The following is a 23,428-nucleotide window of genomic DNA, read 5'->3' as shown; positions in this document are numbered from 1 at the left end:
TTTAAATGCATCCTCAGGTATAGTGGGTAAATATAAGACTCTAAATTTTTTAAACAATTAATTTTTGTGATTAACATTTTCTATTGAAACCATCCTATGAATTACCTATTATTTACACATTTTACAGTGAGGGTAACTCAAACCCATAGAGGGTATGTAATTTATTAGTGGTCAAAGACTTAGAAAGATGTAGAAATCAGACACAAACTCACATTCTTGAGCTCTGAGCCTCAAGCACTTTCCACCATACTGCACTTCTCTCCCAACCTTTTTCTTGTTGTTGTTGGGTTTTTTTTTGTTTTTGTTTTTGTTTTTGTTTTTGTTTTGTTTTTTAATCATGTATCTCTATCTCTGTTTCCTCCAGGTCCCAGTAAGAATAAATCCAGATATCCCTGGTAGGTTGTAAAATGGTTTGTTGGTCAGAAGCAATGTTGTGGGGGATACTATGACAGTAAACAAGGCATCTGGTAAATCCCCGGGGCCAAAACTTAGAGAATGCAAGAAAGGCAAATCCATATTCTCGCAGAGTACAAAAATAAATATCTATTCCAGTGACAATAAATCACTTTCTTCTCTGTGGACAAAAACGAATCTCATGTAATTGACCTGCCATGAGTTGCCAGTTAGTGCCCTGGGGTTTGAGCCTGCTGTGATGTAACATTAATTTCTACTGCTGGCAGATGGAGTTCTCAGCAGTGACAGTTACCTGAGCAATCTAGTAAGAAATCCATGTTTTTGACCCTATGCCTAACTTTCCTCACTGTCATCATAGCCACCTTTATTCATGAGTCCCGTGAGCAAATATGGAATGTCAGGCAAGAGAGGCTGAATAATACCAACAGTGATGATTACTTTTTTCATGTGATTAATGTGGCCACAATAATCATGGGAGCAGACACTTGGGGGTACAAATGTGATATGGTTTGTCTCTGTGTCCCCACCCAAATCTCATCTTGAATTTTAATCCCCATAATCCCCACGTGTCAAGTGAGGAGCCTGGTGGGAGGTGATTGGATCACGGGGGTGGTTTCTTCCATTCTGTTGTTATGATAGTGAGTGCTCACAAACTCTGATGATTTTATAAGGGGCTTTTCCCCCTTCCCACGCTCTCTCTAGCCTGCTGCCAAGTAAGACATGCCTGTTTTCCCTTCTACCATGATTGTAAGTTTCCTGAGGTCTCCCCAGCCATGCAGAACTGTGAGTGAATTAAATCTTCTTTGTTTATAAATTACCCAGTCTCCAGCAGTATCTTTACAGCAGAAAATGGACTAATACAAAATGCCCTTACGTTCTGGACAACTTTAAGAAATTCATTCGTGAATCGATCACCAAAACTGCCTTGTTAATAATCTTCTGATATTTCTTTAATTCCAAGTTTCTAACCATCTTTCCAAACCATGATCGACTCCTACCCATGGAATTGATGTATATCTAAAGCCTCAGTCATCTCTTTTTTCAAACAAAGTGATCATCATATTTAGTTTTTACATTTTGCCCAATAGATGTATTATCATAGCTATTGTTATTCAGGAGTATCCCTGAGTGAGACAATACACTTTTGGCTGATGTCAACATATTAGATTGAGTCATCTATAAATAAAGCTTACTTGTTTTTCCTCAGTCAATTGATACTAGAGGAACTCTTTATGAAGTCACAGTTTGGCTAGAAAAAGTGACAGTGAACCCACAGAACTGGGCACATTGGGAGTATTAGTAATCTGATTATGTAACATGTTGAGACCTTTTGAACATGCTTAGGCCCAATCCTGTTTATCTTATTTCCTATTGATGTTGGTGTCCTACTGAGCACACGCAGCTCTGTGGTTTACAAGTTCATGATAGCAGTTCAAATAGCACATATGATGACTTGTTGACCCATTGGATCAGTCAAAGTTCTATCAGAGAATCAGAACTAATACTATATTTGATGCTCCTCAATATCATAGGAAGTGGACATTTTCATTCTCATCTTTGTGTACATGTTTAAGTACAGGTGAGCCACTGGCATTTGATAAGACCATGCCACCTTTTTAAGCTCTTTGCATTTATTATACAGAACTAAGGAATTTCTGATATCTTAACTTCACTTAACATAAGACACTGTTATATTTAGTTTTCAGTAAACAAGTCCTAAATATTTGCTAATACAAATTAGCAAACAGCTTCTCCTCCTGGACTTGAATCTCTTTTTGGTTCTGTGAGTCAAACTGAGGTATGTTTGAGATCATATAGATGGTAGGGTGGGATATGGGGAGTATAGCTGTTCTCTTGCAAAAGCACTGATTACAAGGTCTTCAAATAAAACAGGAAGAATCTCATCAGCCCTGTATGGGTGGTGGGGAGTAGCTGCTAGTGTTGTCTGAGACAGTCAGTAAAGTTTGGAGGTTCAGAATACTCAAAATCAACTAAGTCACCTCAAATACCTAAGAATTTTTAGGCTTAACTTTTTTTCAGCCAATACCCTTATGTGTTTAGTCAGGGCCTGGCAAGACTCTAAATTCTCTCTATTTTATTTCATCAACTCAGAATCAGTCTCTGGATTTGATGTTTAGTTACATAAACCCAAAGGAATACAAGATTCTTTTGAGGGCACTCATAGAAACGCTCCAGTTCTTTTTTCAGGACTTGAATCAGGATTTTAAAACATGACCCCATTACTTTCTTGCTTTGTGCTCTTCAGTTCAGTTGGAAGCAACAGCCTGGCCTATTGTCATTATATTCTTCACACCTATCAACATGGCCTACTTAAGCATAGCCATTACCTTTAATAGGTGCATCTTTCCCAGTAACAAAAGGCAATAATTTAATAATTCTTCCATCAGTAGATGCTACAGATTACCAGCATTCCAATCTCTACTGCTGACTAGTCTACCCTACCTTCAACCTAGTAGGTCAGACAGACAACTCCAACATCCATGTCCTTCATCTGTCTCACCTGAAGTCATTCTGATACTATTATACCTTTCTGAATTTCTTAGTTGCAGATGCCATAGTCTCCTGCAGCTATACTAGGCAGACAAGGGTTCATTTCAGAATTTCTAGTAAGCTAGATGATAGAGGCAAGAGAAAAGGCTTTTAGTAAAACAGGACTCTTGTAACAAAACCCACAGTCACTTCCACTTTATGATGACACCTGTGCCATTCTGCATTATCCAAAGAGTCAGTCTCCATGCTGCCCCTTCACATTGTCACATTACTCTTTCCCTGTCTCAGGTGGTGGCTTTGCTTTTGGAATTTAGGTCATACACAGAAGGCTGCTGAAATTTTTTTGCCTTTCCAGCTTCTAAAAGATAGGGAGATACACTAAAGAGGAGTTGGAGTTGGCATTGAGTGAGCCAATCTGCACAGTGTAGCCAAGTGCTTTGTACTTTAAAGAGGTTTTGAAGGCAAAAGTCTGTCAGTCAGTTACACTTTTATTACTATTAATAAGTATTGTTGAATGGAACTCCTCTGAGAAGTTCTCTCAATACCTTAGATGCTTGCATTTAATTTATTACTATGCTATGTGCTATCTTATATTAGTATCCAACTCTTCTATATGTATAAGTATAGAATTTTCCTTCTCTCCCATTAATGCAAACTCTTCAAGGACTGTGGGATGGACTTCTTTTATGCCCCACCCACTATTAGGAGAGAGCACATCAGAAACATGATGAGGAACATGGCTGTGACCTCATACATCAAGATGAAGTCCCAACATATGCCTGTCAGTAGATGGGTCACCTTAAGTATCCACCACTCTGATTTTATTTTTTGTACCCTGGGAAGTGGAACCTTTTAAACAAAACAATATTTTAAAGCAATTAGTACAATTATAGAAATTATAAGATATTATATGATCAGGTGCCCTGCCAGAGGATGCACTGCTAAAGAATTCATTTTTGTTTGTCTTTTTTAGATTTTGTTATTTTCTTTTTTCCCCTCTTCTAATGCTAGAGAAATGCTACATTTTATATTATAATCTACGTATAATTTTTTTTAAATTATTGAGAGATGCCACCCTTAAATAGTAGGTTTTGTTTGAGCAAATCCTACACTAGCCAATTGTTCATAGAGAGGAATATAACAAGATCCATTGATTTGTGGGGATTAAAAAAAAAATGTACCATAGCCTGGGAGAGGTGGTCAGTAGAAGGAAAAATGGATGATTTTTCCAGATGTTGGAGGGTGCAGACAGAGGCATGAGTCCAGATCCAATACTTTGAGGCTGGGGCTAGCTGTATAAATTTAAATGGATGATTATTAAGAGCTATGATCCTGGGAACCTGAGGAATGATGACACTTGCCCTGGAGGCTAGGGGATCCTTCTCTTTCAAAAACTACTGTGGTTTCTGCAGAACCTCAACAAGCAGTAACGACATCAGAAGAGTGGGCTGACCTGACCATCAGCCTGTAAGTTACCAGTCATCAGCTGTCACACTATAGCAGTGAGAAACAGTGGCAACCTGGTTTCAATGGTGCAGAAACTCCTATAGAATGAAAAACTCCCTAGGATTCTGTTACAATTAAATAGAAAAGGAATTAGACACTGAAATTCTTGATGTTAAGCAGGTGAGAGATTGAGCAGTTTATTTGAAAAAATAAGAGACCTGAGTATGCTAGATACCCTCAGGCCTGTACAGCAATTCATACCATTTACATTTAGTTTGCCTTTCTTTCTATTCAGAATTTCTGCCCTAACTTTTCCAATAAATATCTGAGCTTCAGGGATGTCATCAAAAATTGAGGACTAATACTAAGTAATGTGTTATAATTATCACATTATGATGCTCTATGCTTATTTTTTCTTTGGGAGGATTGGAGGTAAAAATCACTTATATGGAGAAAAACCTTTTATTTTGAAATCACTCTGTTAACACCTTCCAAGCTCAAGCCTATGGTTATTTCTTTGTGTATCACAGTTATTTGAAACATTTTAGAAATATCAGCAAAATAAAAAACACCATGGACTTTCAAGGCTGGCTATATTGTACCTGATATTGTGCTCAGCATGTAGCACTCTTAGGTAATTAATGGGGTTGGCTGGTTAAAAAAAAAAAAAAAAACATAAAGCTGTTCACAGTTTTCTGAGTCTGTATACAAGTTGTGGGAGTCTTCAAAGCAATGGATACCATAAGACTTTAATGAATTTTATATACAAAATGAGGACATTGCCTCCTTCTCACACTCAATGGATTGTTCAATGGATTTGCATATATAGATAAGTCATTTGTACATGTCTGTTATTCAGTGGTCCTTTCTCTCTGTGTGAACTCATAGCACTTATTGCTTGCACTGTTCATTGGGTGAAAAAGTATTCTAAATGCCTTGAGACATTATGTTATAGAGCCTTGATTGCTTCTCTCTTAATCGAGTACATTCTCAAAGAAGGCAAGTACCTGAAGCAAAAGGCTAAATTTTGGGGAAAAAATACAATGACTTGCCCACTGCAGCAGCTCTCTAAGATGTGAATGTCACTAAATGATGTCAAAATTCTGTGGTGTTCAATCTACAGATGTAATTATTATCCCTTATCATGCCCACTGATGCCTCCTTCTCTTGTTCATTCCCTTTCTGTGACTAATCTTCTGGCTAGGATTAACTCTACTCTGGTTTCTGCCTCGCTTAATCATGTGGCAGCTTTCTTCATTGCCATTTCATGGTTTCACGGTGATTATAAAGTGACTTTTATCATTCTGCTTAGCAATTAGGACTGGTAATGCTAGATTCATTCTCTGGGTTCTAAGTTCAAAACAAGCATTGAGACTCCCATTTTCTACCTCCCATATGTGGCAATTAAGAAAGAATAGAATTAAAGGTGACAATTTGCCAAAATTTAGGGTGTATGAGAGGCCTCCTACATAGATGATTTGATTCTAATTAACCTGCCAACTTAAAGAAAAGGGAGTATCCTTGACTCAACATAGAAATATAGTCATCTCTCTCCATCTGAAATACTTTCTTTCCTTTATGGTCCCCATTCAACTTACAACCTGCGTCTTTACATAACTAAATATCTTCCATGAGTGGCCTGTATGTGTTGTCTCTACTCTCTTACATTCAATTAACTCCTAAAATCACTTCCTCCACCCTATCTGCCTGAGTGCCAATAAGAAACGCATCATCTCAAGTTAGAATGATTTAAGAAAATATTATTTACAAAGATAATATTTACAAGAGATGGTGCAATAACCCAGGGTAAGTATTATACAAGCCATGAGAGCCACCACTAGGCCCAAGAAGATAAGAAAATGAAGTACTTACTGGAACCCAGAAGGAAAAAGACATAGACAGGACACCTTAGAAGCATGGTGATTCCAGGACCATACCAACCCAAAGTGACCTTACAGGGAGAAGCTGGGAAACAGATATCCTGACTGTTGTCTCCTTCCTCCTTCTATTCTTCTTGGCATTCCCCTTTGGAAAAACCCAATAAAAGCCAGACAATAAGGGAAAACATTGATGAAATATGCAGGTCAGCTTTTTGAGGCTTGAGGCAAGTAAAGAAGGGTGGTGAAAGTGGATATCGAGTTGGAAGACACGAAGACACATTTCACCTCAATGTTCCATTGGAATTATACCTCTAAAAAGTCAACTCCTCTCTAGTTTTCATACCAAATGGCCTATTTTTATTTACTTGTCACCTCATTCCTTTGCCTCTTTGCTTCTGGATTCCATGACACCCTTCACCCCTAATCTTTTGCTAGACCTTGGCTCGTCTTTTATTTTCTGTCTGCACACCTATTTTTCCTTTTCCTGGCTTTCCCAGGAGAAACATCTGATATACTTTCTGAGTATAATCTGTCTGCTAAGTCATCCAGCATACTAATACCAGCTTCATATCACTAAAACACAATTCTCATCATGACATTTTTCTTCCTAAACTGCTTTGATAGCTCCTTTATGCCCATAAGATACATTATAAAGACGTTTCTTAATCTAGCCCCGGCTTCTCTTTCCACACCCAGTTTCTGCTCTCTTCTCCCATGTCTTGTGTTCAGCCAGACTCTCCAATTCCTTAAGCATGTTCATGCCACTAAGATTTGAGAATACTGCCCGCTCTGTCTTAGATTACTTTTGCTCCTTTTCTGCCTAATGCTCTATTTTATCCTTCCAGAGCTAGTTCAAATATGTTGTGATCCAATAAAAAAAAGAGAATTTTAGACCAATATCCCTGATGAACATCGATGCAAAAATCCTCAATAAAATACTGGCAAACTAAATCCAGTAGCACATCAAAAAGCTTATCCACCATGATCAAGTGGGCTTCATCCCTGGGATGCAAGGCTGGTTCAACATACACAAATCAATAAACGTAATCCAGCATAAAAACAGAACCAAAGACAAAAACCACGTGATTATCTCAATAGATGCAGAAAAGGCCTTTGACAAAATTCAACAGCCCTTCATGCTAAAAACTCTCAATAAATTAGGTATTGATGGGATGTATCTCAAAAGAATAAGAGCTATCTATGACAAACCCACAGCCAATATCGTACTGAATGGGCAAAAACTGGAAGCATTCTCTTTGAAAACTGGCACAAGACAGGGATGCCCTCTCTCACCACTCCTATTCAACATAGTGTTGGAAGTTCTGGCCAGGGCAATCAGGCAGGAGAAATAAATAAAGGCTATTCAATTAGGAAAAGAGGGAGTCAAATTGTCTCTGTTTGCAGATGACATGACTGTATATCTAGAAAACCCCATCGTCTCAGCCCAAAATCTCCTTAAGCTGATAAGCAACTTCAGCAAAGTCTCAGGATACAAAATCAGTGTGCAAAAATCACAAGCATTCTTATGCAACAATAACAGACAAACAGAGAGCCAAATCATGAGTGAACTCCCATTCACCATTGCTTCAAAGAGAATAAAATACCTAGGAATCCAACTTACAAGGGATGTGAAGGATGTCTTCAAGGAGAACTACAAACCACTGCTCAACGAAATAAAAGAAGACAAAAACAAATGGAAGAACATTCCATGCTCATGGATAGGAAGAATCGATATCGTGAAAATGGCCATACTGCTTAAGGTAATTTATAGATTCAATGCCATCCCCATCAAGCTACCAATGACTTTCTTCACAGAATTGGAAAAAAACTACTTTAAAGTTCAAAAAAGAGTCTTCATTGCCATGTCAATCCTAAGCCAAAAGAACAAAGGTGGAGGCATCACGCTACCTGACTTCAAACTATACTACAAGGCTACAGTAACCAAAACAGCATGATACTGGTATCAAAACAGAGATATAGACCAATGGAACAGAACAGAGCCCTCAGAAATAATACCACACATCCACAACTATCTGATCTTTGACAAACCTGACAAAAACAAGAAATGGGGAAAGGAGTCCCTATTTAATAAATGGTGCTGGGAAAACTGGCTAGGCATATGTAGAAAGCTGAAACTGGATCCCTTCCTTACGTCTTATACAAAAATTAATTCAAGATGGATTAAAGACTTAAATGTTAGACCTAAAACCATAAAAACCCTAGAAGACAACGTAGGCAATACCATTCAGGACATAGGCATGGGCAAGGACTTCATGTCTAAAACACCAAAAGCAATGGCAACAAAAGCCAAAATTGACAAATGGGATCTCATTAAACTAAAGAGCTTCTGCACAGCAAAATAAACTACTGTCAGAGTGAACAGGCAACCTGCAGAATAAGAGAAAATTTTTGCAATCTACTCATCTGACAAAAGGCTAATATCCAGAATCTACAAAGAACTCAAACAAATTTACAAGAAAAAAAACAACCCCATCACAAAGTGGGTGAAGGACATGAACAGACACTTCTCAAAAGAAGATATTTATGCAGCCAACAGACACATGAAAAAATGCTCATCATCACTGGCCATCAGAGAAATGCAAGTCAAAATCACAATGAGATACCATCTCACACCAGTTAGAATGGCAATCATTAAAAAGTCAGGAAACAACAGGTGCTGGAGAGGATGTGGAGAAATAGGAATACTTTTACACCATTGGTGGGAGTGTAAATTAATTCAACCATTGTGGAAGACAGTGTGGCGATTCCTCAGGGATCTAGAACTAGAAATACCATTTGACCCAGTGATCCCATTACTAGGTATATACCCCAAAGATTATAAATCATGCTACTATAAAGACACATGCACACATATGTTAATTGAGGCACTATTCACAATAGCAAAGACTTGGAACCAACCCAAATGTCCATCAATTATAGACTGGATTAAGAAAATGTGGCACATATACACCATGGAATACTATGCATCCATAAAAAAGGATGAGTTCATGTCCTTTGTAGGGACATGGATGAAGTTGGAAACCATCATTCTCAGCAAACTATCGCAAGGACAAAAAACCAAACACCGCATGTTCTCACTCATAGGTGGGAACTGAACAATGAGAACACTTGGACACAGGAAGGGGAACATCACATACCGGGGCCTGTCATGGGGTTGGGGGAGAGGGGAGGGATAGCATTAGGAGATATACCTAATGTAAATGATGAGTTAATGGGTGCAGCACACCTACACGGCACATGTATACATATGTAACAAACCTGCACTTTGTGCACATGTACCCTAGAACTTAAAGTATAATAAAAAAAAATTAAAAAATATGTTGCAATCTATGATTTCCCTTTTTGCCTCTTCCCAAGAAGAATGGATCCCCTTCCCTCTGCTGTGTCCCAGGGAGAAACTTTCGTGGCCCTTTGGCCTAATTTCCATTTTGGCACTGAACATAAAAGCTGTAATTAATTCCTCCCAGTTAAACAGTGCTTGAGGTAGGAACACACAGTGCTTCATCTATCACCAATAATATATCAGGGTGCTTGGCACATGGAAAGTTTCCTAACATATTTGCTAAATAAATGAAAGGTGACTAGCCTGGTATATTAATACCACCTTCTACCTGGTACCTGAAGAGCAATCCTCTTGTGCATTAACAAGCATCTTCATATGTAACATGAACTGTGGTCAGATGGAGCCCAGGAATAGCCATGGGATCCAGCCAAGCATCCCACCTATGGGGTAGATAACAGGTGAGGAGCTGGTTCAGATGAGGCAGAGTTCTTATCTGCATTGGGACGAGTATACACTGGTGTCAACCCTGTCTACTGAACATGGGAATTTCTCTTTTGTATTGAAGCTGCCCAATCAACTGGCAGAAAATTCCCTCTTGTAGGGCTCCTGAATATTCAAAGTGTCCTTCACATACCCCTTATACAGGTCCACTAACTGGTCATGTAGAAGGATAGACACCTTTCTATTGGACCGGTACCAGCAGCCTGCTTTCTGGGCCCCACCTGGTGACCCCAGTGTCATGTTACTCTATCCTCCTACGTTCCTGCCCTTCTTTCTTCTTTCATTCTTTCTCTTCTTACCAAACTCCCAACTATAATGTTCATGTTTTCCTTTTACAGAAAACTCTGGTGGCCCATTAAAGTGGCACTCAAATAATCAGTGAGTGGAAAGTCAATCCCCTTTTCATCCACATTAAACATAAATAGGCAATTGCCAAAAAATAACAAGAATGAGAACAAATGTGTTCTTTCTTTCTAAGGTGGTAAATACAATGAAATAAAACAAAAGGTGTTACCATTTTAAACCAGGTTGAAAGTTCTGATCCAGTCATGATAGTTTTACCTAAGGTTAAAAGTTCTGAATGCCTGTCATTGAGCTACCCACTCCCTATGTGGTGACAAGCTACCACCTCCATATAGTTGACAAGATCATCCCTCACTCTGCACAGCCTAATTTCCATCTAAAGAAATGACTCTATATGTACCAGTAGAGTTCTCATTTAAGTCTTTAATGCTTTCAAAAGCATTAATTTATATGCAAATTCTTCTGATGTGGCAGTCACCTTAACTGGGCAATACCCTAATCGATGGTTAATACTGTCCTTTAGTTTACAACCCTCTGAATGCAAAATATATAAAACAAGAGACCAAGAAAAAGCATCTACTAGTCATTTGTATGTTGAAAGGAGAGCTGTTGAGTGGGGTTAAAGAGTTTCAGAAACTTTAACAACTTCACTATTTTGCTAAATGGCAAGGCTGAGCATGAATTTATTTATTTTTTTTAACCTGATCACTGCCAAATGTGTTTTTCTCTTTCTCTCCCATCACTGCACATCTTTTACTAACTGGAAACCTAGAAGTGTAAGAACTTTTATTTATGTTGCCTTAAGCATTGGATAATTATTTGGGCCAATTTTGTTCATGCAGGAATTATAATACTCTAGGCAGTGGCACAGGTTTCAGTTGGTGTATAATAGCTAAGAAAGTGTCTCATTATTTCAAAAATAGCTGGTGTTTTCTTTTTCTCAATTCCAAACTATTTTGAACATGTATCAATTAGGAAGTTCCCATAGGTATAGCAGTGACGGTCTCAATTGAACAGAACAGTTGTCCCAATTCTTTATATTTTATAGGCCAGTAGTAGAATTCCAGGCTTTCTGAGCCATGATATATTATAAAAGCAGTCTACCAAAGAGAAAATTTCCTGACAGGATTACAGGATGATTCTTCTCCTATTGGTTTTAGACCAGGACAAAAAGCACATCATCCAAATCACTCCTCATTTCTCTCTTTCTCTAAAATTGTAAGTAGTTACCACAACCCCATCTTTTCTAGAACACAATGGACACAGAAAAACATAGAATCCTTGCAGGGAAAATCAAGAAAGTGGCCAAACATTAGTGTGTCAAAAGGATAGCCCAGTTCGTTTCTAGCTACATTGTCAGAAATGATGAAAAGGAAAAAATGTTTTTCTGTTGTATTATATCCACTTGATCACATTTTAGAAGTCATCAGAGAAGACTGCTAGATTTAGAGGCAGAAAATCTAAATCTAATTCTACCACTTCTAATAATTTAATTGTTAACAATTAAATATAACCTATTAAATTTCAGTTTTGTAAATTACATTGTGTGATGTTATTAATGTGGTCAGTTCGTGTTAGGTAACAGCAGGGCAACACCCCCAGAGTTGGAGGTGAATTAGCTCTCTGAGAATCTAATAAGAAGGTAGCAAAAGCCAGACCCAGATAATAATTAACTGATAGTTTGCGAGAAACACCCTAAATCTTTCTAAATGCTCATGTGTAAAATAGTAATATACCTACTGGATGATTTTTGTGGGTATTACATGACTTGATTCCTCAGAGACTGGATCTCTAGGTGCTCAACAAAGCTTAGTCCCTTCTCTTCCCTTCCTATACAATAGACTTGGGAAGGCATGAGAGCAGTAAGACATCAACAGTGCATAGTATTAACATGTCACTAGAATGTGGTATTGAAAGTGAAAGGAAAACAGGGAGGAGAAAGTGGTGAATGGTTTTTGCAAAAACTCTAAAGAGGATTCCCCCAGTGCCTTAGGGTCCTTAAGCTATGGGAGCCAGTCATTTGACAACCATTCTTTCATGGCCTGAATGCATATTTACTATACAAGGCTTTTATGACAATTTGCTTTCTATATAAATCTTTTCTTAGGGATGATAACACAAATTAGTGATTTTGAATATTCCAGGCTTTTTGGCAATCTTATTTTATACACTAAACTAATAGTTTAAATTTCAAGCCAATTCTTTAGACTTTTAAAAATGTTAGTTGGCATAAGAAAAACCACGGAGCAACAATAATCACTTTCCTGAGTACTTAAAATTTGGAGTATCTGAGTCTACTCCTCTCCAGAACAAACCTATATCATGGTCTCCTAATCAAAATACTGCATGTAGGCCGGTTGTGGTGGCTCATTCCTGTAATCCCAACCCTTTGTCCAGTTGAGGTGGGAGGATTGCTTGAGCTCAGGAGTTCAAGACCCGCCTGAGCAACATAGCGAGACCTGATCTCTACTAAAAATAAAAATTTAAAAATCAACTGGGTGTGATGGCACATGCTTGTAGTCTCAGCTACTCAGAAGGCTAAGGCAAGAGGATCACTTGAGTCTGGGAAATCAAGGCTGCAGTGAGCTGTGATTGCACCACTGCACTCCAGCCTAGGCAATAGAGTGAGACCCTGTCTTAACAACACAAAAATTCTGTATGTTACCTCAATATCATGGCTTTCTAAGTATAATAGCTATGCTTCATCAAGATTTTTTTCATAATTTAAAATTTTTTAGATAATTATAGATTCATATGCAGTTATAAGAAATAATACAGAGAAGTCTGGTATACCCTTTAGAGTTTCCCTCAATGGTGACATCTTGAAAAACTAATACAGTATCAGATGAGATACAGTCATTGATACACTTAAGATACAAAATACTGGACTCCCATTATGGCAACAATCCCTCTTGTTGCCTTTTTATAGCCACACACATCTATCTCTTAACCCTTGGTAACTACTAATCTGTTATCCATTTCTATAATTTTGGCCTTTCTTTATGTAAGGCTTATGTGGCTTCCCCTGACACCCAAGTGAAAGGCTCCGCATTACTCTCAGTTGGGGTGGGAGTCTTGGCTCCCACTAGGCCTCCGCTGGCATCTCCCTGGCTGAGAGAGGTAGGAATGCCTCTTTACTATGCCCCTCAAGGCTTCCACTGACACCGTAATGGGAGGTAGGTGGTACGCTTGGTTACCATGGGAGTGGTGAAAGTCATGACTTCATTAAGCCTCCTTTGACCCTCTAAGAGAACCCCAAAGGAGAGACAGGCATTGCTTCATTACGGATAGTTGTGGGAATGGAAGTGGTCTCCGCTTGACACCACATGGAGCAGGAGGACTCGTGGTCTCCGCTGACACTACAGGGGGCAGGAGGACCTTGCTATAATCCAGTGGGGATGAAAAGTCCTGGGTTCCCACTCAACCGTCTCTGCCAATTCTCTGGTGGAGGTCTGGGGGCACCTCACAATAGCCTCTGAAGCAGGAGGGTCTAGGCTCCCCACTTTGCCCTTCGTGGTATGGGTGTGGGTGGAGGCCACAGTTTATCTGTCATGTTTAGTTGGAATAGAGTGATTATTGTCTAAAAGTTTTATTTTTCCTAGTCTATTCCCTTTCTGGAACAAGCTTTTGTTCAGACTTTTGGTTGTTGTTTTGGCATTTCTGGGTTACCAGCTTCTTCAGCTTCCGGTTGGCATATAAGGGACAAAAAGAAACACAAAGAACTCAACACCATGTTCTTGCTTGAATCCTGAGGTCCTGAGCTAGTCTGCCTTTTCTCTTCACTTTTCAGAGTCTTCTTTCACATAGGAAGAAAACAAGCATATTTATGTGTAATGACTGGGGGTTTTAGTCATCTCATCAAGTTTTTTTGTTTGTTGGTTTTAATATGTGAATATACCTAGCACATTCCCCCAGCCCAGAGTAAGACAGCAATGTACATTACTGAAGTTAATATTTAGAATTACAAAAATTCTCTAATTATAGATCTTGATATTCCTCCAGGGTACAATTCAATATCCAAAACTGAATTAAAATGTCCCTAAGTACTCCAACCCATTGTGATTTATTCCTCCTCAAACTCCCAACAATGAATTCCTATTATACTTGTTCAGCAAAATTTATGTGTCATGAGATAACTCACCATTTATTTACTGTGTTATATCATGCAAGGTACTTAAACGTCCTCATGTTCTTTATCTATAAAATATTGTTAATAATAAAAAATGGCACGGATAGGACTCCACCCCTGTATAAGTCTATAACTCCATTATAAAACACATTAAAAATTGATAGATTGGATTCAAATTAGGAGATCAGAGTTCTTTCTACTTTTTATTTTAATATTTTTTAATCTTATAGAGATGGGTTCTCACTATGTTGCCCAGGCTTGTCTCAAACTCCTGAGCTCAAGCATTCTCCCACTTCAGCCTCCCAAAGTGTTAGGATTACAGGTATGAGCCACCACACTCAGTCCCAGAGTTTTCTTTATGTAGCTGGTTTAGTACGCAGATGGTTACTCTCAGAATACATTTTTAATTGCAGTTGTTACTGTTGTTGATTTTAAACATGACACTTCAAAATAGGGCTGTAGGACTATCATCCCCCAAGAGGCAGTATAGCATAGTGACTAACACAATAGGTTTTGAACCTGTGGCAGGCAGAATAATGGTCTCCAAAAAGTTGTCCAAATCCTAATGGCTGGACCTAGTGAATGTTTTACCTTACATTGCAAAGGGGACTTTGCAGATAAGATTAAGTTAAATATCTTGAGATGGGGAAATTATTTTGGGTTAGCTGTGTGAACCCGCTCTAATGACAAGGGTCTTTATAAGTAAAAGAGTGAGGCAGGGTAGTCAGAGTCAGAGAGAGATCTGAAGATGCTAAGGTGCTAGTTTTGAAAATGGAGGAAGGGGCCACACCCAAAGATGGCAGGTGGCCTTACTGGCTGAAAAGGATAAGGAGATGGATTCTTCCCTAGACCCTCCGGAAAGAATTCAGCCTTGCCAACACTTTTGTTTTAGAAAGACCCATTTTGAACCAATATAAGACAATAAGTTTCTCTTGTTTTGGGCCACCAAGTTTGTGGTAATTTGTTGCAGCCACAGAGAGAATCTAATACTGGAACCAAATGTTCCAGATCTGTCATTGTTAATATATCTGATCTTAAATAAGAAATTTAATACTGGACCTTTAACTGTTTCATCTTTAAAATGAGTAGAAGCATTTTACCCAACTGCAATTAAAAATGCATTCTGAAAGTAACTATCTGTCTACTAAACCAGCTATATAAAGAGAACTCTGGGGCCCAGTGTGGTAGCTCATGCCTGTACTCCTAGCGATAGATCCTACCTCATACAAAGGAATAAGTACATAAAAAGTTAATAAACATTATTAGGCAAATAGTAAGTGCTCAGTACCTGTTACCATAGTATCACAGTAGTGGTAGTAATTATTCATATATTCAAAGAATGTGATTGAAAAGACAATGAGTACTTTACAAAGATGATATTATAAATGCAGTCTCCTATGTCAGGAGTCCCCTGTCCCCGGGCTATGGACCAGGACCCGCCAGTCCATGGCCTGTTAGGAACTAGGCTGCACAACACAGGGGGTGAGCCTTGAGTGAGCATTACCGCCTGAGCTCCACCTCCTGTCAGATCAGTGGTGGCATGAGATTCTCATAGGAGCGTGAACCCTATTGTGAACTGCACATGCAAGGGATCTAGGTTGCACGCTCCTTATGAGAATCTGTAACTAATGCCTGATGATCTAAGGTAGAACAGTTTCATCCCAAAACCATACCCACCCCCTCACCACCCATTCCATGGAAAAAATTGTCTTCCACGAAACCAGTCCTTGGTGCCAAAATGGTTGGGACCACTTTCTCTAACCTGTTTTGTTTCAAATACTTATATCTAAGGAGGAGGCCATGTGTTAGGATGTAGGAGAAGCCTAAAGACAGTTTCAAACAATGTATGAATGTTCCAGTTCTTAAATTGGGTGATAAGTTTATGGCTGTTTGCTGCATTTTTATACTTATTAGCGTACATATGGAATCAGCCCTGGATCCACAGGTTCTGCTTCCATGAATTCAACAAACCGTGGATCAAAAATGTAGTTAAGCCTATGATAGTTGTATTAGGTATTATAAATAATCTAGAGATGACTTAAAGTTTACAGGAGGATGTATATAGGTTATATGCAAATACTACACCATCTTATATAAGTGTCTTGAAAATCTGTAGATTTTGGTATTTTGGGAGGGTCCTGGAACAAATCCTCTACAGATACCAAGGGATGACTGAACAATTCATATATATTTCCTTTGTATCAAATGCTAAATAACACATTTTTTTCTAAAAGCTATGAATAACACTTGAGAAACTTCTCAGATCTTTATTCATTATAATTCAGCTAAGAAAACTCCATTATGCTGTGGTAACGAATAGCTCCAAAAAATTTCATGGGCTTACCAAAGCAGATGTCTATTCCTTACCCAATGGTATGTGCTCACCACAGATCAGCAGAAAGCTCTGCTCCTCTTGATTTCTCACATCCCCAAACTGACCAAGGCTTCATCTTGCCAAGAGTTTTTGAATCACTGAAGTGATGGGAAGGGAAAAAGTGGGTAATTGTGCACTGGCTTTTAATGTTCACCTCTCAGAAGTAACACTTCTGTACAGGTTTCATTGGACAGAGCAAATCACATGTCCTTAGCAATGTTAGAAGAGGGCATGGATGTTTAATTGTTGCATGTGATTATAAGGCAAACGCCACACTGTTTTGTGAAAAGCATTAATGATTTTCACAGTTCATTTTTCTGGGCACCAAATTGTTGTATTTTGTCCAACAGTATCCAGACTTTAACACAGGCCCTAATATACGGTGTATATAAATTAAAAAAATATGTAGGGCAGCAACTAGAGGTCTTGTGAAATTTAAATAACAGTTCTAAAAAATAGATGAAATATTAAAATAGACATGGTAATACCTTTTCAGGGCCCAAAAAAGATATGACAAGTCTAGAATCAAGTACTATTTGGTAGTTAGAATAAATGTGTGAGTTGATATTAGTGTGTGAAAGCTTGATTTAATTTATAACGGATTGGCTATCATGACAATAAAATTATATACCAGTTATGCTTGAGCCAGTATTTTAAATTTTATTGGATGAAATATGTACATGGAAATAGAATTTAAGTCCTAATACCATACTACAGGACAAAGATCCACAGTTTTAAACTCAATTATGATTTCTCCCCCCAATACAAAGTCAAATACAATTTCAAAAGAAGAATATTTATAATAGCATGGAATAGAATGCATCAATCTGGACGCTTAGCCTGACAAACTTCCGTTCTCTCCCCACCTGCTTATTCTACCACCGGCAGCTCCCCACAGATTTTGACACGTCGCAATACTAAACCCCTCTGAAAGCTGGACAGGGGCTTGCTTCCTATCATTTCTGCTCAATGTACTGACTAGTCTTAGGCAATCCTTGGGAAGTTGCATGTCAATTTGGTGTAGGGAAGAGGAGATGACGGAAGCATGGAGTGGAAAAAGTTGTTAATAAAGTGCAGATTAACAGGAATCAATGCTGAAAGTCAGAAGAGGGGCAAGAGAAACAGTCTGGAAATGGGTTGATAGTGGGCCTGCCATGTTTGTACCCCCTTCTCACCTCTCTTTACCCTGTGTTGTTGTCAACACTCTTTGTTGATCCACCATCTTAGGCTTCTGGAAAATGCCCTTCGCTTGGTGGGAACAAAATAATGTAAATCATCTCTCATCTACATTATCTTGATTTCATGTTACTGCTTTGCTTCAAGACAATCCCTGATTGCTTCATTCATTATAATTCTTTTCATATGCACTGCATTTGTATTGTAAAAAGAACGTATAACATTTGAGAACATTTTGAAGAAAAAAATTTCCATAATTCCATCGCTTGGAAACAACTATTTTGATTTCTGTGTATTCTCTTGCAGACTTTGTCCAAATGTATACCTATTTTTATAGTTGTAATTTGGATGATTCTGTTCATTCCCTCCCCACTGCTTGAAACAAGACTCACCTCTTGGTAATAATCATATTTTGATTAGAGAAGAACACAATATATGTTTTTTAATTAACCTGTGTTAATAGCCAGTTCCTATACATAGTCTCAGGCTGCATGTTCCTCCACCTCAGCATTGTGGAAAACACAATGACTAAATATGCTTCATTCCAGAATACCTTGAATGGGAAGGAAAGAAAAAGAGTAAACTCAGTGTGCCCTCATGGCAGGCATTTTCCATGTATGTTCTTTCAAGCCCTGCAAAAAATATGTATATTGTTATATTTTGTCGTTAGAAATAAGACAGCTTCTGTGCAAGAAGGTGGGTGACTACTCACCTAATCAGTAGCATAATCTGGTTTTAAATTTAGATCTCTATGATAGCGAAGTCTACATTCTTATGAGCTCCAATTTCTATAAAGCCCAAACAACTCTTTTGGCGGTAAAGCATAATTACAAATGTTAAAATGGCTCTCATTGCTTGAGATCGTTTGAATTCCAGATTACGTATGGATTTTCTTTCCCCTGTAAGAGAACATGGGCCATTTCACTGAAGTGGATAAATGGAGAATCCCCAGATCTAAGACATAAAAATGCCAAATGAAAGTAGATACCATTTAAAGGTACATTCAGTCCTCATTATTCATTGATTCTGTATTTACCAATTCATCTATTTGCCAAAATTTGTTTGTTACTCACAAATCAATACTTGAACACCTTCATGGTCGTTGACAGACATGCACATGCAGAGAGTCACAAAAAATTTGAGTCACCAAAGTGCACATTCCCAGCAGCAGTCCAACGAGACAATGCTCTGTCTTCTTGTTTAAGTTCTAGTACAGTAAATAATTCTTTTCGCAGTCTGTTTGGTGACATATTTTTTGTATTTTTGTAATTTATGTTGGTAATTTTGCTATTTAAAATGATCCCCAGGCAGAGAGCTGAAGTGATGCCTAGTGACACAAAGCACAAGAAGACTTTGATGTGCTTTACAGAGAAATTGCATATGTTAGAAAAGCTTCATTCAGGCACAAGAAATAGTGCAGTTGGCTGTGCATGTGATGTTAATGAATCAACAATATACAATATAATGTCTGAACAGAAACATCCATTAAACAGGGTTATGTATTGAATGGTTGCAGAAAATGTTGTGCATAGTAGCTCTCAGAAACCTAATCCTGTATCTACCCTAGGAACAATGATTTAGTATTCACTAATTCAATGTTTGCATTGATTTTACAGAATATCACTACCATAAACAATAAGAATCTACTGTATCTTTCAGTATGCTTCCAAATAATACATTCCATTTCTATGTCATCTGCTAGGGATAAGAAGAGGTGGTATAGAAAAGTGTAATAGCAGCAGAACCAAGATGGAGGGGGTCGGATCAGGAAGGTGACTCTTCATGACCTCGGCTATCACGGATTCTGTGCCATTGGCTGAGTAGACACAGCTGGAATCATTAGGGTCCCCAAATCATGACAACAGCCACATTCTTACCCAACCCCAACAAGTGATCTGATTAAAGTTGAAACTTACTGGAAAGCCAAACTTGCCCTTTAGCCCAGTAAATGCTGTATTTCAGCACAACTTTTTTAACATTTTATAATTTCTGGTTGAGAAAAAGCCAATGCTGTAGTCAATCAGCAAAGGTTTATTGAGTACATCCTTGGTTGGTGTACTATTGGTCTGTATAAAAGAGACACAATACTTGGTTCTAAGGAAAGCATGGTCTTGGGGAGATGAGACTTTCATCAACCCCATGGTGAGAAGCCTGATGGACAGGCTGAAGGACAGGCTGAACTGGAATAGAGACAGCTTGCTGAGGACAGCTAAGGGCCCACAGGGCTGGTGGGATACAATCTTGAGAAAGAGGTATAATTTAAGAAGAGGCACAAAATATAAAAGGCATAAGACTCAGATGAGAACAGAGAAGATAATGTGAAAATGCCTTCCCTTAGCACAGAAACATCACAAATAGGGTAAGGAAGGGTTGATTGTAATTCGTGTGATCCAGGCCTAGCTGTTGCATCCATTGTTCACAAAGGCGTCCCACAGCTTTCTGAACGAATGAGTCCTTTGGTTATAGGTAAATGAAAAATTTTAACTTTAGAGAACTTAGGTTTTTTTTTCTTTTCATTAATTCTCAAATAGTTAGCACAAAAGGTAATGTCCCAGGTAACCTGAGTTAGTCCCAGAGAAATTTTGATCTGAGGCAAGTCAATTAACATTTCTGAGTGACTCTTCCTTGTTTCTGAAGAGATACTCCTATTCTTTCCCCATTCTACTCCTCTGAAATCTCTTTTTGCTGAAGGATTCCACAAATTCTGAACTGACTCATTAAGGGTTACTTCTTTATTTATATTTTTTCCCAAATGAAAGCCAGCTGGCTGGGACTGACATCTATTTAACTTAGCAGGATATGTAGTTACCTAAACAGGTCACAGATGACATTTTACTGAAGCTTCTTCCTTTCATGCAACACTTCCTAACTACTTAGCTGACCTACACTCTGATGGTGGTTTCCTGTCCCCCACGTTTTCAGCTGTATTTATTGCTTCTCCTCTAGGTCCTTTAAAATCACTCTTTCTCTGCCCTCTATGTCTCTTGAAATTGACTTCGACCACTTAAATAAACACTGACAGTGAAATGTTATTCTGCTTCTAAGGGTCTGCTCTGTTCTTGTAGCACAGGACAGAGGCTTCTACCGGTCTCTGTATCCCTTAACTATTTCCAAACATAGGACGAAGTCTTCAGAATTTTAGTAGAGTTGTTAAAGCACAAATTTTGTGTCACATGCCTGTGTTCAAATCCAAGATCTGCTACTTAGTATCTATAGGACCCTTATACCAAGTCACTGAGATGAAAAAACAAAACCGGCTATTTCAAAGAGTTGATTTAAAAACTATATAGACAATGTATATGAGATATTCAGCACGTATTGCACACGTGGCAGATGCTAAGTAAATTATGCTGTTATAATAGCTGTAGTGTTCTTATTATTCAGAATGTGTTCAAGAAACTGAATGAGTAGGCAGGGGTTTAGAGGTTCTATTATCTAGGAGTTTTCTATCTAGGGGTCCAAGGTGCTTGCTACCCACCCCAATAGAGAAGGTAGGCATGAAAGTATTTTGAAAAGTTAAAAGTAACTCACAAATGTAGGTAGGAAGCTAGAGCTATTCTCATCCCTGCAAATATCTCCTTTGTGATCTACTGCCCAGAATTTCTTTTCCAGCTTCCTTCACCCCATCCAGGCTAGGGCAGTAATGAGTAAGATTTGAAAGCATGAATGTGAAGGAGCAAAGCTCCCAGTACGATGGAATTGAATAATGCACCAAGTCTTTTTTGAATAGGAAATAACTGTTAAAAGATTTCTTTTCATGTAATTCCAGGCTCAGTTCAACGAGATCCCCTTGCAATCTCTTGAATTTGTCTTGCTTCTCCTTACAGGCTGCCTGGGTTTCTGCTATTTGGCTCCACAGCATGGCTGAGAAAATACAGTTCTCCGTGTCCCTGCAGAGCATATATATGGTCAATAGACAGCCTGAAAACCACAGAGAATAAATATAATAATAGCAATAATAACTCTCCTTTAATTAGATCTTTATAGTAGCTAAATTTATTTAATACATTTGGTCAGATACTCTAATTATAAATATTATCCCCATTTAATTGTACATCACTGTGAGGCAGCTACAATTATCCCCATTTTACAAATGAGGAAACTGAGGCTTACAGTGGTTTAATGACTTGCTCATTGGCTTACAATTGGTAAATGGTGATGCAGATTTAAATCAAAGCCAGAATTAAAGGCATTCTCTGTTCCTTCCCTTGCGTGCAAGCAGAAAGAGCCTCCTACATAGGTCTTTGGCACCAGAAAATCTTATTTTTATTACATAGTTTCAGTCAAATAGGGAATTACTTCCAGTTACCTTAAAAAGTATCTGCACCGAGCATCCGTAGACATTTGCATCTCTAAGCCAATGATGAGTCAGATTATATCCAGATGCTATGTTTTATTATGGAAAAAGTGGGGAATTTAAAAACCACATGGCCTTTAGCTTTATGTCTGGGGAAAGAGAGATTGCCACAAGGTGTCCTGGGAATATAAAAACCTTGTTTCCCCAATAACATTTACCAGGAGCAAATCTTAATGTTAAACTTAACCATGGGCTATTGTAAGGGGTAAGGATTAAATCCTCCATTCCTCTATAGCATCTTTGGCATTCTCTGGTTGAAACTATGCCCACTGGGAATGGAGACTTTAATCCTTACCCCTTACGGTAAAGTATGGGCAAGATCTGCTCTCCAGATAATCTCTGAACCTAATTTATTGGCTTAGGTTCCAAAGAACCATAGTTTAAAGGGGGATTTCTGCATAGGAAAGGAAACTAAATCACATGAGTTCCAAAGTTCCTTGCAAGTAAGACGGTTTGCCCTTCTATGAATGTCTTGGTCTAGAAATAACAGACTCTATATCCAGGGCAACTTGCTGGTATTTTTGCCTGAATCTACGTAACTTATGTCTTTTATATATCTGGGATGATGCTACTTTTACTTAGCCCGTATAATAAACATTTCTCACACTGTCAAGAATAAGAATAAACAATATACAGTGGATACTTCCTTTGTGCCAGATCCTTTTTGCATTATACATTATCTCTACTTTTTAAAATATACCTTTGTTAACCCTGTTTTTCAGATAAAGAAACTGAGGCACAAAAATGATTTTAATGATTTTTTTTAGTAACATTGGCAGTGGTTCTCAATCTTACATAGATCTAGACATAGACATAGATCCTAAGAATATTTTTTTCCTGTGGCATTTTTAAATGTGGCAGAGGTTTTCAAGATTTTATACATACACACCCACATATATGCATACAAACACACGCACAAAAAATCTAGAAATATTTTAAAATATATACATATATAGGCCACTTGACCAACATATCTTGGGGGTAAGAAAGTAGGAATTAGAAAAGTATGAGTGTTCTGCAAACAACAAACAAC

At 38.2% G+C, this 23,428-nt stretch overlaps 2 annotated features.

The window, feature by feature from the left end:
- Nucleotides 12,210–12,269: an enhancer, noted in NCBI's record as "active region_16097". NCBI's record gives its function as "activates an Ori minimal core promoter by ATAC-STARR-seq in GM12878 lymphoblastoid cells {active_cell/tissue: GM12878}" and the evidence as "EXISTENCE:reporter gene assay evidence [ECO:0000049][PMID:35858748]".
- Nucleotides 12,300–12,389: an enhancer, noted in NCBI's record as "active region_16096". NCBI's record gives its function as "activates an Ori minimal core promoter by ATAC-STARR-seq in GM12878 lymphoblastoid cells {active_cell/tissue: GM12878}" and the evidence as "EXISTENCE:reporter gene assay evidence [ECO:0000049][PMID:35858748]".

The sequence above is a fragment of the Homo sapiens genome, chromosome 2 (assembly GCF_000001405.40).
Source record: "Homo sapiens chromosome 2, GRCh38.p14 Primary Assembly".
In the NCBI taxonomy this organism is placed as follows: domain Eukaryota; kingdom Metazoa; phylum Chordata; class Mammalia; order Primates; family Hominidae; genus Homo; species Homo sapiens.
This window is presented reverse-complemented; position numbering and strand designations above follow the sequence as displayed.